This window comes from Homo sapiens, chromosome 6, assembly GCF_000001405.40.
Source record: "Homo sapiens chromosome 6, GRCh38.p14 Primary Assembly".
Lineage (NCBI taxonomy): Eukaryota > Metazoa > Chordata > Mammalia > Primates > Hominidae > Homo > Homo sapiens.
This window is the reverse complement of record NC_000006.12, coordinates 150828931-150846210: the sequence shown is the minus strand read 5'-3', so window position 1 is coordinate 150846210 and position 17280 is coordinate 150828931. Positions and strand designations below refer to the sequence as shown.

Here is a 17280-nt window from a genome sequence, read left to right as displayed (position 1 = left end):
AAGTCTGCAGAGTAAATGTCTCTGGAATTCTATCAGCCATGAGATGGGAAAGGCGCAGAGAGTCTTTCCAAAATGCCACCTCCCATGACTTACCTAATAAGAGCTCTAGAGAAAGTTGATACCACCAGATTTCTGAGTGTGCTGTGAATCTTTTTAAAGCAACTTATTTGCTGTTGTTGTGACTTCCCTCCTTTGTGTATCTGGTTTGAATATTTTTCACATGCTTTGAGCTCAGACGAATTTTTAACTCTATTCAATGATTAAAATGTATGGAACACTACAAGTTGCCCAGCACTGTGAGGGGCTGGTAAAGCCATTTCTACCTCAACTGGTCAGACAATGGTTGCACATGCTAAATTTTAGAATATATTTTTCTTTTTTTTTAAGATGGAGTCTTGCTCTTGTCACCCAGGCTGGAGTGCAATGGCAAGATTTCGGCTCACTGCAACCTCCCCCTCCTGGGTTCAAGCGATTCTCCTGCCTCAGCCTCCCAAGTAGCTGGGATTACAGGCGCCCACCACCATGCCCAGCTAATTTTTGTATTGTTAGTAGAAACAGGGTTTCACCATGTTGGCCAGGCTGGTCTCGAACTCCTGACCTCAGGTTATCCACCCGCCTCGCCTCCCAAAGTGTTGGGATTACAGGCGTGAGCCACCATGCCTGGCCTAGAATATTCTTTCAAAAAGGAATTTTTGATCTTCTGTTAAAGAGCTTTCAAATATGCTATACACCAGACATTCCAAATTTTATTAATTTACAGTTATATAGGTTGTGCAATCATATTTTGCATTAACCTTTTTAATACAGCAAAATTTCCACAGTATCTCTCTATATAAATATATATAAGCGCATATATATATGATTTTGTTAAACAGAAAACATTGAAAAAAAGGGTAGGTATGATAGCTCATGCCTGTAATCCCTGCAGTTTGGGAAGCCAAGGCAGGAGGATCACTTGAGGCCAGGAACTCAAGACCAGCCTTGGTGAGTCCATGTCTCTTTAAAAAAAACACCAACAAGGCCAGGCACGTGGCTTATGCCTCTAATCCCAGCACTTTGGGAGGCCGAGGCGGGAGGATCACCTGGGGTCAGGAGTTCGAGACCAGCCTGGCCAACATGGTGAAACCCTGTCTCTACTAATAGTACAAAAATTAGCTGGGCATGGTGGCATGCACCTGTAATCCCAGCTACTTGGGAGGCTGAGGTAGGAGAATCGCTTGAACCCCAGGAGACAGAGGTTGCAGTGAGCTGAGATCATGCCACTGCACTCCAGTCTGGGCCGATAGAGTGAGACCCTGTCTCAAAAAAAAAAAAAAAAAAAGAATTGAGTGTAGTTATCACAATCCAGATAGAGAAAGTTATACAGCATTAGAGGATCTCAGAGTTCTTGAAGTATTAACATTTGCTCTTTCAAATAGAGATTTTTTATTGTTTTTACTAAAAAAAACCTTAATAGACAAATCTTATTAAGTATTCATGTTCAACAGCTGTATTTATAGCTCATTATAAGCCTGCTCATTAAAATTTTTCTTTAAGGACTGAATTTATGTTTACCATTTACACGGGGCATGGTTATTCTCCTGTTATTTGTTTCTCTAAACTGAACTTGGAGCGAACCCATCCATTTTCCACCTCAAGGTGGAACAGGAAGATAAGGCAGATCTGAGGGCTCCTCAGTGTGAAGTTGGAAAACTCTTCTCTCTAAAATACACTAAAAGCCGAAGGCTGTTTCTTCAGTCTGAGGAAAGTCAGGTAATCCACATTTTCATTATAATGGGGTAGGGCTTTTTGCTTACATTTGGAAAGAGTTGCTTTGGAAAGTGTCTGTAATTATCAACTAATAGCAGCATATTTTTGTTCCCTGTAAACTTTCTATTAAAGAAAATTAAGAACATGAAGTTACATGAAAAAACCCTCAATTTGTACCAAAAACTTCTATAGTAATTTTCTTTTTTTTTTGAGACAGAGTCTGTGTTGCCCAGGCCAGAGCGCAATGACGTGATCTCAGCTCACTGCAACCTCTGCCTCCCTAGTTCAAGTGATTCTCGTGCCTCAGCCACCTGAGTAGCTGGGATTACAGGCATGCACCACCATCCATTTTTAGTGGAGACAGGGTTTCACCATGTTGGCCAGGCTGGTCTCAAACTCCTGGCCTCAAGTGATCCACTCACCTTGGCCTCCCAAAGTGCTAGGATTACAGGTGTGAACCACCATGCCCGGCTATATTAATTTTTTGATTCAATAATAAAAGTTAAAAGAATGTCTTCTGTTACTTACTGCAAATTTTTTCAAAAGGTAATTTAGCAACTGATCTAATTTAGCTTTCGCTCAAGACAACAAAAATCCTAGACACCAAATTCACTGTTTCAAAGGTAATCCAAAGATGTAGAAAATGGTCTATCATGGGCCGCTGAGACATAGTTATATCATTGTGACCCTGCACCATTTTCTCCATGGTTCACAAGGCAAGAAAAAGTATTATAGCTAAATGTAGTTTGGAAACATCTTGATGTTCTAAAATAAACACATTAATTCACACTATAAATTACCTTGTACTTTACAAACTTTATTAAATAATGGACGTTACTAACTTTCATTATCTTATATACAGTATTTAAACTATGTTTTTCTAGATGCATTTTTTCCCCACAAAGAATAGAGCAGGTGAAAAGTAAACTTATATAAAAAAAATTGAACCTTCAGTACAGGAAACTAGTAAGAACTTGACATACTTTAAAGTACATATAACTTTTCCTCGTTATATACATCCCCACCCCACCTCTAAAACAAACTGTTTTAAACAAAAGCAATTGATAACTTTCAGGAAAAAAATACAAACATGATTATATATATATACACACAGCTCTCAAAATCTGTGTCCTGGCCAACAGAAATGGTCTATAAATCTACACATTTGTCCTAAAACCTAAAGCCATGTAGACCTTTTATACAGTAAGATACCCACTTACGTGCAGTGAGGTGTATTCCTATAGGTGACATCAAAGTCATGCAACAAGACACTGGCGTGAAGAAGTAATTTCTGAGAGTCAGACAGAACAATAATATGAACTACATAGAACTGGATAATACCAATCAAAAAGCGAAAATGCGAAACAGCTTTCCTGGGACAAGAGTCAGGTAATTTTGTTCATAGGTAATACAAATGCACTTACACACACCTCTAAAAACATACTTTCTTGGCCGGGCGCAGTGGCTCATGCCTGTAATCCCAGCACTCTGGGAGGCCGAGGCAGACGGATCATGAGATCAGGAGTTCGAGACCAGCCTGGCCAACATGATGAAACCCCGCCTCTACTAACAACACAAAAATTAGCCAGGTGTGGTGGCGGGCGCCTGTAATCCCAGCTATTCAAGAGGCTGAGGCAGGAGAATCGCTGGAACCGGGGAGGTGGAGGCTGCAGTGAGCCAAGATTGCACTCCAACTTGGGCAACAGGGAGAGACTCAGTCTCAAGAAAAAAACAAACAAACAAAAAAACCAACCAAACAAAAAAACTTTCTTGTGGTACTTATCTTTTTTGATCATTTCATCTTGGAAACTCATATCATGTTCAAATAAACACAATAAAGAAGGAATGTTCCCAGACCATGCTATTCAATGTGGACTTTCTTTTATAAGCTATGAGAAGAATACTTTGGAGAAGCAAGAAACTTGGGTTATTTTTTGTTATTTAAAAATAAAATCACATGCCTTAGGTACCTATTTGTAAGATAAAAACGCTCATATTCTATGTTTTACAGTTAAGAAAAAGAGGCATAGGACTTAACAAAGAGAAAAAGAATTATGTCACTTACTCAATATTACTGCTTACCTTTAAATGAAGAGCCCAGGCCCCTTTCCCTACATATATTATTGTATCTTTTAAAATAGAAACTAACAGCATGGGGGAGAGGCCATAGAATGTACACCTGATTAAAATGAGAATACAAAGGCCACCGCTTGAGAAAGCATTCTTGCTGCATTAATTGCAGTCTTCAATAAAATAGAATATGTTATAAAGTTGCAATATATCTGCCTTCATTTTTCTCTTTAGCTTCTTTGATTTTGCTTTTTATTCAATGTCTTATTTTTGTTTGTTGCCTTTCATAAGGAGTTAGATCAGTATACAGTATCACAATGAAATGTGACAAATGGTCAGAATATAAAAGGTGTTATTTATTAGTCAGCACCTAGTAACCAAAGATTTCATTCTTTAATATACCTGAAAACAACGAAAAAAAGGCTCCCATGTTATGTGTAGTTTAGGAAATAGATTCTTGCCCTATTCCTGCAGCCAATGACTCCTCAGGGCCAGGATCAAGTTGGTCATTTGGCAGAATCCCAAACTCAGGAGGGTGCATGTGCAAAGCGCTCTGGAAAGGATAAATTTAAAGTGCTTTGTCTGATTTTAGCTCATGCTTAACTTTGTATCGATTAGAAACAGGCACACAAAATGGTCTGGTGGGATTTCAGTTTTGCTTTTTCTCTTTCAACAGTCATTTGAAGAGTTAAGTGGTTCCCAGAAGTCATCCCATCTTTTCTAATAGTTAAGTCAATCTGCATTTTATTGACCTTGGTTTTCTCTAAGCCAGTAAGGAAATCATTCATTTCACCCCAGAAATTATATTAGAAACATGATGAGCAGCTCGTTCTCTAGGCCTTGTCCAGGAATACAGGTAAAGGGTTCTGCGTACAGAAAATGGGTCCCGCTACATTTTAATTTTCAACAGTCACACAATTTCTGCATCAAAATGACATAAAAGAATACTAGCACAAAAACCCTAAAATGGGCACCTCAGACTGCAGTCCAATTTACAGATCTCTGGCTTACGTTATCCTAAGGTGTTACCACAAATATAACCAAAATGTGAGATATAAGCATAATTCTTTCAACAGCTTTCGTTGCCTTTTAAAATGTGAAAAAGTCTCCTTGCTGCCTTTGAGTCACAGGATAAAACTACCTGGGCCTTCTGGATAACAGGAAAGGATTATTGCATTTCTTAAGGTGTGGGCACTATTGTCAGGTTATGGCCATCGTGTTAAAAGTCTAAAAACTTTCAAGTAAGATTGACTTACATGAAACATGAAGACACTCAGCATGAGAAAATATACTGTTGATGCCAACATGTGCTACAGTACAATCCGGGCTGCATCGTCAGCCATTTCCAAAAGTTGTGCTGTAAAAGAAAGTATATTTTACACCTCTGGTTCTTACAAAATTGTTTTAATCTGGTATACATAAAACACCTCATCAGTATCTGTAACGTTTTATGAGCAAAATAAGAAGTTGATTCAAGCAGTTATTATGAAGAACCTTAAGCAAAGCTGCTTGAACTGAGACACTGAAATTTTTCCCTTAGAGACTGGACAATATTTTGTTGATTGGGAGATGGCCCCCTCCAAAGATAGTCATTCAGTTTGTCAGAATCATTATATGGTGTCAGATATGGTGAAAGGCCAAGTTTGCTGTTAACCGGCTTTTTTGGAGTGCGCGGACTATTCAAAGAATGCAATGTGTTGCCGCTGCAGACATTATCAGAAAAGTCAGCATCCACAAACTTTGAGTCAGATTTCCTTCTACGATTGTGAGATAGCTCCAACTCCGACTCATCTTCTTCTGACTTGATTTCCACATAGTCATCTTCATCTCCATCAGTCTCTTTGAAATTGGAAAAATAATTCTGTGTTGCAATTTGGGCATTTAAGGGTAAATTTCTATTGACCACCACAACTTTCTGTGAGTCTTGGAGTGTGAGATCTGAGAGTTTTTCAGTGCCCTGTTGATGCGAGTCAGCAATATCTGGCAGCAAGTCCTGGTGACTCTCACACCTTGAACTTCTGTGTAAAGACAGCAGCTGCTGCTTTCCCACATCACTAGGGTAGTTGATGGAATCCATTGATTTGTTGATCAAGACGGAGGAAGATGACTGGGACCTGTGATAAGGCTGAGATTTAGCGCTGATCCCTTTCCGACCCAAGGAGTTGTAAAGATGGTCCTGACACCAGTTCTCTTTGTTGGGCTGACTTACTACCACGCTGCATCTCTGCACAGAGCCTGGCAGAGGGTCAGAGGTTTGAAGAGAAGGCACAGAGCAAGCTGCGGACAATTGCCTGGGAGTACTTTTTGTATTGATCTCAAACGTGGGATATCTTGACCTCAAGTCTTGCTCTGGTGGGAGACAGAAATCTGCTAACTCTCCATTACTATAGGTTGAATGCAGAAGCCAGTCTCCACTACCATGGTGGACCTGGGAAGGTGACACAGACCTCAGGAGGGAGGATTCTTGAGGGCTGGCCCAGCCATCCTTCTGAATTTTCAAGGGAGACTCTCTGAATACAATCTGGTCATACAACTGGGAATACTCAGCAATCCTGGCACCTGGAAGGCAAATATTGAAACAGTAAATACACACAGGATAATTCCTATACGTGAAGATTAAAAATAAGAGAATAACATTCTAACCAACGTATTTTAAAATTTTGACAGTAGACAAGACTAACTGATGTCTAAGGATGAGTAATCTTTGAACTCTGAGCAACACACACACACAAATCCATGGTTTAATATAAATAAAAATGCCACCTAAAAGTTCATTTAATTTCATCTAATTGTCCATTATTTTGTTTCAACAGCAGGTCTGCAAGTGTCCACTATATATAATGAAAGTTTCTAGTGTTCTTTATAAGCATAAAACAGTGTCAGTGCTGAAAACATGCATCATAAAAGTAAGAAAGTCAGCACTTCAGCCTGGTCAATGAAAAATCATTCAAGCAGTCTTTAAAAGCAGCATCGCAGGGCTGGGCGTAATAGCTCACGCCTGTAATTCTAGCACTTTCGGAGGCCAAACCAGGTGGATCACTTGAGGTCAGGAGTTCAAGACCAGCCTGGCCAACATGGTGAAACCCCATCTCTACTAAAATTACAAAAATTTAGCCAGGCATGGTGGCGTGCACCTGTAGTCCCAGCTACTTGGGAGGCTGAGGCAGGAGAATTGCTTGAACCTGGGAGGCGGAGGCTGCAGTGAGCCAAGATCATGCCACTGCACTCTAGCCTGGGTGACAGAGTGAGACTCCATCTAAAACAAAAACAAACAAACAAAAAAAGCAGCATGGCCACAATCCACAATGCAATGGCTACCCCTGGCTTCCCATCATTCTTTTTTTGTCTCAGACAGCTGCTCCTAGAGGAGTCAGCTCCTGGCTGTTGCTGCGCTTCTTGCTTCCAGGCAGCCCTCCACTGCCATTGTCTGGGGAACCAATGTCTACTAAGTAAAGTTCTCCCCTCAAGTGCTTCAAAACCACATGTATTGACTAACTCACATCTCATTTCACATCCCCAAGAAGCAGAGCACTAAAGCCTAGGCCGCCAAGACATTAAGAAGGAACCGTCTGTGCATGTACTCAATAATCTAATGCTCTCTACTACTGGTTCAAGAATAGGACCTAACAGTTACTTCCACAAAAGCTTTTGCCGCTTAAAATTAAGCCACAAGTCCATTCTCCCCTTTGCCCTGATTCTGAGTACAGATATTTCTAAATATTAATACATTAACCATGCTATGGGTAGGGGATTCTCTTCGGCTAGCAAAAATTTAAGATGGGAGCCCAGAGATGACAATTTCAAGATCTGCCACCCTCCCCAATCCAGGTATCTGCACAACCACCCTAGAATCAAAAAACTCTAATGCAGGGGTGTCCAATCTTTTGGCTTCCCCAGAAGACATTGGAGGAAGAATAATTGTCTTGGGACACACATAAAATACACTAACAGTAGTGATAGCTGATGAGCTTTTTAAAAATCTCAAAATAAAAAAAACCCTTAATGTTTTAAGAAAGTTTACAGATTTGTGTTGGGCCACATTCAAAGCTGTTATGGGCTGCATGCAGCTGTGGGCCATAGGTTGGACAAGGTTCCTCTAACGCATCCTATAACTTGCTCAGACCATATTGACACAATCTTTATGAAGGAAATGTATCCTATATATGACAACCAGCAGGTAACACTGTTTTCTTCTTCTTCTTTAAGCTATTTACATTTTTAATGATGTGTTATCAGTAAATTATTTCTTGAACTTAAACTACTAATAAATACTCATTTAGGTGAGTTTTGTCATTTCTTTTGAGTCTATCTTCTATGAGGAGAGAGAAACAACCTGTTATTGTGTGACCTTTAATTGCAACCCCAATCCCTCACCCCCTATTCCCTGTGATCAAGGTAAATAGTCTAACTTCTCATTACAGACCTATACTCAGATCCTTTGAGTTTTCAACTCCAAATTCCTTGGAAGAACAGAGATTATTAGTGTTGAAATTTCTAGTTACAAAAACTTGAGAAATGATTCCATAAAAGGCGCAGTAAAGACTCTTAATACTAATTAGGGTTTAGCAACATCTTAAGAGAAAGAGTGTAAAAGTCTCCACAGACACCAGTGTGCCCATGGTAGCCATCCTGAAACTATAATATTTCATTAACTATGAAACCCAATCAAAATCAGCTGGACCTTTAATATAGTCATTAGTTAGCAGACCTGCCTGAAAGGCAGATGGTCTGCTCAAGCCATTCTCACATACAGTATAGCCCTGAGCCTGATCCCACAGCTGTATCAGGAAGGCTCTGAACTTCTACAAGGTTCCAAGAAGATGACAATTTTGGAAAATGTAGTAGAACTTTAAAAATTCAAACAAACTATTCCAGTATCAAAATTTAACCATTAAGTCTTGTAAGAACAATCAGATCTTGACTTTAGCCCAGATAATCTGAAATCACATATCATCCAAAATATCCACAGTATTTCCCATGCCTTTGTCTTATTATACACTCCTTGTCCTTTGCTTAATCAAATCCTACTCATCTCTCAAGATTCTCCATAAGCCCTATCTTCTCCTTACTTGAATCCTTTTCTGATTTCTCTTCTCTGAAGTCTTACATAGTGTGTACCTAGCTGTTGCCTGTGTGTGCACACACACACACATGCAGACACACACAATTTGTATTGCTGTGTTGCTAATTATTTTATGTAGGTTACTTTATTTTCATTTTATGTTTTTTTGAGACAAAGTCTCACTCTGTTGCCCAGGCTGGAGTGCAGTGGCAGGATCTTGGCTCACTGCAACATCTACCTCCTGGGTTCAAGTGATTCTCCTGCCTCAGCCTTCCTAGTAGCTGGGACTACAGGCACCCACCACCACGCCTGGCTAATTTTTGTATTTATAGTAGAGACAGGGTTTTGCCATGTTAGCCAAGCTGGTCTCGAACTCCTGATCTCAAGTGATCCACCAGCCTTAGCCTCCCTAAGTGCTGGGATTACAGGTGTGAGTCACTGCACCTGGCCATTTTATGTAAGTTACTTTATTAGTCCCTGAGCTTTTCTTTTCTTTTTTTTTTTTTTGAGACAGGGTCTTATTCTGTTGGCCAGGCTAGAGTGGAATGGTACAATCATAACTCACTGCAGCCTCAGACTCCTGGGCTCAAATAATCCTCTTGCCTCAGCCTCCTGAGTACCTGGGACTATAGGCATGAGCCACTGTGCCTGGAAATTTTTAACTTTTAAATTTTTTGTAGAGAGAAAGTCTTGCTATGTTGCCCAGGCTGGTCACAAACTCCTGAGCTCAAGCAATCTTCCTGCTTTGGCCTCTCAAAGTGCTAGGATTACACGTGTGAGCCACCTCGCCTGGCCTCTGAGCTTTTGGTCTGGGAGAACAATGCTGTACATTTTGTTCAACTCCCTATAGAGGACCTAGCATGGTTTAGACAGAAAGTGGTCTCAATAACTAATTCATTACTCAGAATTTTTTTCACTCCCTTCTTTATTTTACTTATTTTTTAATCTTTTTGAGATGGAGTCTCACTCTGTTGCCCAGGCTGGAATGCAGTGGCGCAATCTCGGCTCTCTGCAACTTCCACTTCCCAGGTTCAAGCGATTCTGCTGCCTCAGCCTCCAGAGTAGCTGGGATTACAGGTGCCCGCCACCACGCTTGGCTAATTCTTTGTATTTTTAGTAGAGACGAGATTTCACCATGTTGACCAGGCTGGTCTTGAACTCCTGACCTCAAGTGATCTGCCCGCCTCAGCCTCCCAAAGTGCTGGGATTATAGATGTGAGCCACTGCACCCAGACTCCTTTCATTTTAAGCCTACTTTTAAAAAGGGATGCACTTTCCTGAGACCATACCACTGGGAGTGGAAAGGTGGCCTGGAAATCAGGTCATAAGCAGAAAAAGCAGAAGCAAGAAGACAGCTAAAATGCTTCCTATAGATAACTCATAATGGGAACAGTTTATCTTTGGATGATAGAGTTGACCATTTATCAATTTTGAATAAAAGGTATCTCACTAGTAGGCAATAGAGGTGTGAGTCACTGTGCCTGGCCATACAGGTGTGAGTCACTGCACCTGCTGATCTAAGGGGCTTTTTGTTTCAGCTTGACCTTCTAAGAGAGTCTATAGCTTGTGTGACATCTATGTGAACAAGAGACAAGCTTCCAGAGCTCCAGCTGTAATTAAACAGATTCTATTAGCCAGATGTACAGGGAACAGCCAGCCTGAGATGACACCTCTGGCCTAAAAAGCTTAGTATTAGTCAGCTGAGTTGAGGCTCCCCCATATCCTTAGTTCTAGTATTAACAGTTGTATAGAATATATACATTATGACTACATGACAATCGCAAGAATGTCTCTGGTTTATTGCCTTTTTTGAGATTTGAAAATTGGAGTTCTTATGATCTCAGACAAAAATTTAGAATAATGTTTGCCAAGGGAAATATCAAACAACATTTTAATCCTCCAGACAGAGGATTAAAATAAATGTTTCTGATGTTGCTCGAGATGCAGACAAAAGCATAAAATTGTGCCTTCCCTACTCTACACAAGGAGGAAAATTTCTCAAGCCTGTATGGAGTTTTCTCCCATGTGAAACATCACCAAAAAACCCAGAAACCCAAAGGCCTCCTTGCTCTCAAAGACTATCAGGAGGAAGGTCTGATGGAACAAGATGGCCAGCATGCTATGACAGGCTCTAAGATATGGGAGCAACTGGACCTGGTTGGGTGATTTATAGGCAGAAATCTGACCCAGGGCCTGGAGACCCCGGCTAGAGAGTTCAATAAAGATGCTCGAGAGTTTCGGCAGGTGAATAAGGTGCTCCTCCTTCCGCACAGCACCGAGAGCAAGCTCCTGGCAAAGCGGCAAGGCCCACACGGAGAAGTCTGGAGAATCGGTCCATTCGATTACGACGTCCTGTGCCCAGATAAACAAGAAAGAGAAAAGGAGTCATCATGTCAACTGACGGAAAGCCTAGTGGGCACAGGAAGTGGTCTCGATCACCCAGCTGGACGAGGTGTGGATATAACTCATCAGGTCCTAGGGACGTGCCTCTGCCAGATGGCAGGGAAGACAGCACTCTCAGAAGATGACTCGGGAGAGATTTCCTCCTCCTTGCTGGGGAGAACGTCGACAGGAGCCCACCATGTCAAGAAAGGACCCAGACGCAAAGCTGAGAAAAGATCCTGGGGCATCCCAAGACAACACCAGCAGGCAAAACAAAAAGGAGAGCCAACCAAAAGTGAAAAGAAAACCCCAATGTGAAATCATTTAATACTTAAAAAGGTGGGTAAAAAAGAAGACTACTCGAGGTAGTCGTAGGCCCTAATGATTCAGTATCAAAGGACATGCTTCTGTCAAGATTGGAGCTTTGTATTTTAACAGATGGTCCATATTCAAAACAACCTGGCCCAGGGAATTACTACTTTTTCAGTGGTAGTCTGTGGGCATAACCCATCATCATCAAAAACTTCAGCATTACATTTCCTCTTATGCTGAGGAGCCCCAACCCAGACTTAGTCAGTGCTTGCAATTGCCAATATACAACTGTTTCTAAGGCCATATATATTCCCCTACCCCACCAAAATTGTCCTCCTGCAGCGGGAACTCAGTCACTTTCCCTGTAACAGCAAACCAGCTTAGCAACGCTAGCATCAGAATAGGGACTTGAATTACTCATAGTGCATCATGGCAAGGAGAAAAATACATGCATTCTAGTCTCACATGCATACAAAACCTTCATTTGATTAAAAAGAAGAACTCAGAGTCTGTGAAATCCTTCAGGCATCAATTCCAGCACTTTGTTTCCCTATCTGTTAAGAAATTGTACTGAAGATTAAAACTTTAGACAATTCTTAAATACTCTCAAACTTAAAAAAAAAAGTTCCCTACAGATTCTTGTTATGTAACTTGTGCATTCATTTAAGATTTGGATATGCCCTTCCTATTCTTCAGTTTCCATGGATGTCAATGTCAATCCCAAAGACAGCATTTAATAGTTAGTGGCATCAACCTGTCCCAATGTGCTGATAATGAAGCTAATGATCAGAGCCTGTCCTGATACTAAGCCATCACCCAGCTTTCACTTTTAATTGTAGAATAGACTCCTCTCATTTGATACTAAGGTGGTCCTTGGTTAGAAAATCTGGGGCAGGATTTCTTAAAATATGATGAAAAGGGCATACTATTTGAAAGGCATATTCCTGAGCCTATAGCCAGAAATCTCTCTGTGCCTGGAGGTAAAAGCTCCTCAGGCAAGAGCCACTACCTTTGGACTTTTCTTTCTATGACAATCAGGGGCTTTATTCACAGCTAGGCTCTTCCCCAGAGATCAGTGTTAAATTTTGGCCTTCAAAAAAAGTCTAACCATGAGCATCTCATTCCCATAGTCCTGATCCTACAATATCACACCTAAGATTCTGGTTTGGTTGTGCTCCACAAAGGAGTCTAACTAAAGCATTAAACTCAGAAGCATATATGAAAATACTAAATGAGATAGTGTTGAATGCATTACAGCAGCTATTTTAAAAAATTGAGCAGTAGGCCAGGTGTGGCGGCTCACGCCTGTAATCCTAGCACTTTGGGAGGCCAAGGTGGGAGAGTCACTTGAGCCCAGGAGTTTGAGAGCAGCCTGGGCAACACGGTAAAATCCCATCTCTACAAAAAAACCACACACACAAAAAAATTAGCGGGGCGTGGTGGTACACACCTGTAGTCCCAGCTACTAGAGAGGCTGAGGTGGGAGGATCACCTGAGCCCAGGAGGCAGAGGCTGCAGTAAGCCATGTTCATGCTACTGCACTCCTGCCTGGGTGACAGAGCCAGACCCTATCTCAAAAAAAAAAAAAAAAATTGAGTAGTAATGGAGATATGTGAGAAAACCATTGATTTATAGTGCGAGCAACTAAGGAAAGTACAATGGCTGGCGTGGTGGCTCACACCTGTAATCCCAGCCCTTTGGGAGGCTGAGGCAAGAGGATTGCTTGAGCCCAGGAGTCGAGACCAGCCTGGGCAACATGGTGAAACCCCTTCTCTACAAAAAATGTAAAAAGTAGCTGGGCATGGTGGTTAGTGCCTCTGGTCCCACCTCAGGAGGCTGAGGTGGGAGGACTGCTTGAGCCTGGGGAGGCTGAGGCTGCAGTGAGCTGTGATTGTGTCACTGTACTCCAGCCTGGGTGACAGTGAGATCCTGTCTCAAAAAAAAAAAAAAAAAAGTATGCAAAAAAACCCCTCTTTTTGTTAGCACGAGTTGGCATTTTTGTTGAGATCCTGAAGCCAGAAACAATGTTATTCTATATGCTTCCAAACCTCAGAAGATCATACACACTCCTCCTCCTCCTAAAAAATTACTGATATACTGGAAAAGTTGGAGATAGCACAGGTTAAAACTGATTGCGTTTTTCATACTTCAGATCACCTTAGAGAAAACTCTTTCTTAAAATATTATCTCTGCAGTTACGATGTTACATGCACACCACCACCCTCTGAGGCCAAATCATGCTACAATGTGGATAATTCACAGGAGGCGATGTGAGAAAGGCCAGTATGGCTTTGTCTGTGGTCTTACTTTGAGATGACAAAGCTTGAGTGTCAGTGTTCTCACAGGTGTGTCCGTTTTAAGGACATCTGAAATCTGAAAACCGCTCTCCCCTCTTACTTTGGAGAAGGAAGAAGGGCAGGGTGCACATACCAATGGCGGGCCCTCCTTGCTTCTTCTCTTCCAAGATGGCAGCCAGGTCTTTGTGCATGGATTTCTGATGCTGACTGGCCGGCGGCTGCTCCAGCTCCAGACTTTTCACTTTTAAAAGTTGATTCGCCTTCTTAATCTTCTGACTGTACTGCCGAGCCATCATAAACACCCTGCTTTTTGTCTTATCTGTGGCCTCCATCCCCAGGTCAGGGTTTTCTGGGTCTGTTTGAGACAGGCCACTGTTGGCCAGGTCGTAGGGATTGTCCATGAGGGGCATTTCACTAGCCAGAGAAAGCCGGTTAAGGCTCATAAAGGAGCCTTCTTTAGAAATCAGGTCTTCCTCAAAGGGGCAGTTGGCGCGGCTGGCTCTGCCAGCCCTGCTCTTCACGGGCGTGAGGAGAGCCTGGCTCTCAGGCAGGGACAGCGTGGACACAGAGCGCCCCACGTCCCGGCTCAGCTCAGGGGTGCTCTCTGCGTGCAGCCTGTCTGGCACATCATCCTTGCTCACAGGAAACGCTGCCAGGAGACGGTCTCTGGCCTTGTCTTCATTTTTCTTGATGTAATTTTCCAGGTCATTCCAGATTTCATCTACTTCTTCGGACAGTTTATCAGATACAGGCTTATGAGGCATAGACAAGTTACCACTGGGAGAGTCATACAGCAAACTCAGATAACCATGATCGGGAGTGGCCTGATGGTAAGGGGCTTCGTCCTCACTGAGCTGGAGGCTGTCTTGGGAAACAAATGGCCTCAGGCTGTCACAGCACACGAAGTCGGCCTCCAGACCCAAAAAGGTGCTCCGCTTTGCACGCTTTAGGCTGCTGCACTTAAAACCCAGCGACGGAGGATCTGGGAGCCCTATGGTGTCATAGATGTTCTCCTCAACCGCTTGGAGTTCATGCGTGCTTTGGCTGGATGCCTCTCCACCTGAGAGGGTGCCATCTGTTTGTGCGTAAAGAGAGCCCTTACTGTGGCCAGCTTGCCTCTTTGTGAAGGCTAACTCTGGGGTGCTCTTGGGGCGAACGGAGTCCCTGGCTGATTTAGAGGGAGTGGATTCAGCTTCTTCCCGCTTAGCAACCATTAGTTTTAAGTCCTCATAACTGATGTTATCATAGACATGGTCTATGTCATCAATAGTCAACTCTATGGATGACCCAAAGGGAGTCATCTCCTCCTGCCCTTCTGTTTTGGGGCTGTTCTGCAGTTCCCTAGTTCTGTCACTAGTTCCTATTTCAGGAGGGCATGTGTTGCTCTCCCCAGCACTGCTGGCCCGCCTGACAATCCTGTGACCAGAGCTGGAGGTCTCTGTGGACTCCATCTGTCCCATATGCCAGCTGCAAGGGCGACTAGAAGTGCTATCTTCACATAGTCTGGTAGAGTTCAGATCTGAGGAGGAAAATGACGGCACGAACATCTGATAATCATCTTCATCATCCTCATTCTCCTGCGGGGACCGTCGGCTGGGAAACAAGGCTTGCCTGATCTGGTGATCGGTCCAGATGTTTCTGAGAGCTCCACCCGCTCGAAGCACGCTGATCATGGTAGAACTGCTAGGCTGACTATTTCTCTGGGCAGGAGACGGCCTTGCTGAAGACAGCTGGGGAGATCCTTCCTCTCTAGAAACCTGAGGAAGATGGAAACATATCAACTGAATCACAGCACCATGGAGAAGACACATAACTCAGGAATTTCTCCTGTGTTTACACACTGCCTCCCCCACTAGGCTTTAATATTCTTTTATTTTTTTCTGAGATAGGGTCTTGCTGTGTTACCCAGGCTAATCTCAAACTCCTGGGCTCAAGCAATCCTCCCACCTCAGCCTCCCAAGTAGCTGGCACTACAGGTGTGAACCACTACACCTGGCTGAGTGTTTAACTGACTTGAAAAGCACTTCAGATATTTTCAAAAAGGGAAGGACAGGAACTAATATATACTTAGAAACTAGGCTGGGCAATGTGCAGACATTCTCCAAACTTAATATTCACAATCATTTTATGAAATTAGGTATGATCGTACCAATTTCACAGTAAGGAAATCTAGGTTCCTAAAGGTTCAGTAACTTGCTCTATCTAGTCAGTAGTAAGACTACTGCTAGAACCCAGGTCTAACCCCAAACCCCTTGCCCCAAAGCATGATATAAGCTAAATACAGAAAATTCTTAGATTCTTCAAGTAAGTCTGGTGTACATTTGGCAAATATTCATTGCATAAATTAATATGTATAGAAGTTAAGGGCCATGCTATCTGTTCTATTTGAGACTTTCTAAGGAGCTTTAGGGCCAGTGCTTGTCTCCTAGCAGTTTTATCGTGGTTTCTGGTATACGAAAAGCCCCTTCTGCTGACCCGACCACACACTCCAAGGATTTCTCTTAAATCTGCAGACCCACCACGAACATGGCCAGCATTACCTTGGTTTATAGACTCTAGGCAAAGAGTTTTTATTGTAGGAGTGTAATTTAATCCTCTGTTCATTTAATGACATTTTTACTTATTTCAAAATACATTTAATTAACATTTAGTTGCCTATAAGGAAGTAAAATAGGAACAATATTAATAATTTTTTAATTTTTATTTTTTTGACACAGAATCTCGCTCTGTCGCCCAGGCTGGAATGCAGCCTGGGTCCCTTGGCATGATCTTGGCTCACTGCAACCTCTGCCTCCTGGGTTCAAGCAATTCTCGTGCTTCAGCCTCTGGAGTAGCTGGGATTATAGGTGCCCGCCACCACGCCTGGCTAATTTTTGTATTTTTAGTAGAGACAGGGTTTTGCTGTGTTGGCCAGGCTGGTCTTAGACAAACTCCTGGCCTCAAGAGATCCGCCCACCTTGGCCTCCCAAAGTGCTAGGATTATAGGCCTGAGCCACTGCACCCAGCCAAATTAGTGATTTCTAATCAAAGAAAACAATGAGGTCTTTTATAACTTGGAACCCTTCTGGATGGAGCTCAGTGGTGCAGACAGGAGCAGATTACCCTCTGATTCTATTCTGCAGACAGGATTAACTTCAAAGGCTTGAAAGGGTTAAGACCTAATTAGTACCAGAGACATATATTCTAATAAAACACTATAGTAACCTATTGGAAATGTCAAATAAGCAAGAACTTTTCATCACATGTCAATGAAAATGGGATAGATGTTAATTGGAATATCTATTAGAGAGGGAAGAGAGGAGTAGAGAGACAATAATGGAATTTCATCCTAAATGTTATTTTTCTATTAAAACTTAAGCAATTCAATTAGCCATTTATTTCTTTTCACACATACATACACACACAATA

The 17280-nt window shown here is 42.2% G+C and overlaps 1 protein-coding gene across 10 annotated transcripts in view; it reads right to left on the bottom strand.

Annotated features, from left to right (window-relative positions):
• PLEKHG1 (pleckstrin homology and RhoGEF domain containing G1) overlaps window positions 2546-17280 on the bottom strand; it is a 243781-nt gene continuing 229046 nt past the window's right edge. For 7 of the 10 annotated variants that reach the window (NM_001029884.3, NM_001329799.2, NM_001329800.2 and 4 more), the window contains 2 exons: window positions 14006-15629; window positions 2546-6378 (listed from right to left, as the gene is read on the bottom strand). In NM_001029884.3, coding sequence (NP_001025055.1) covers window positions 5315-6378; window positions 14006-15629 — 2688 coding nt within the window. In that variant the 3' untranslated portion in view covers window positions 2546-5314. The remainder of the gene's footprint in view (window positions 6379-14005; window positions 15630-17280) is intronic. The other 3 variants (NM_001329804.2, NM_001329805.2, NM_001329806.2) reach the window with 1 other exon arrangement.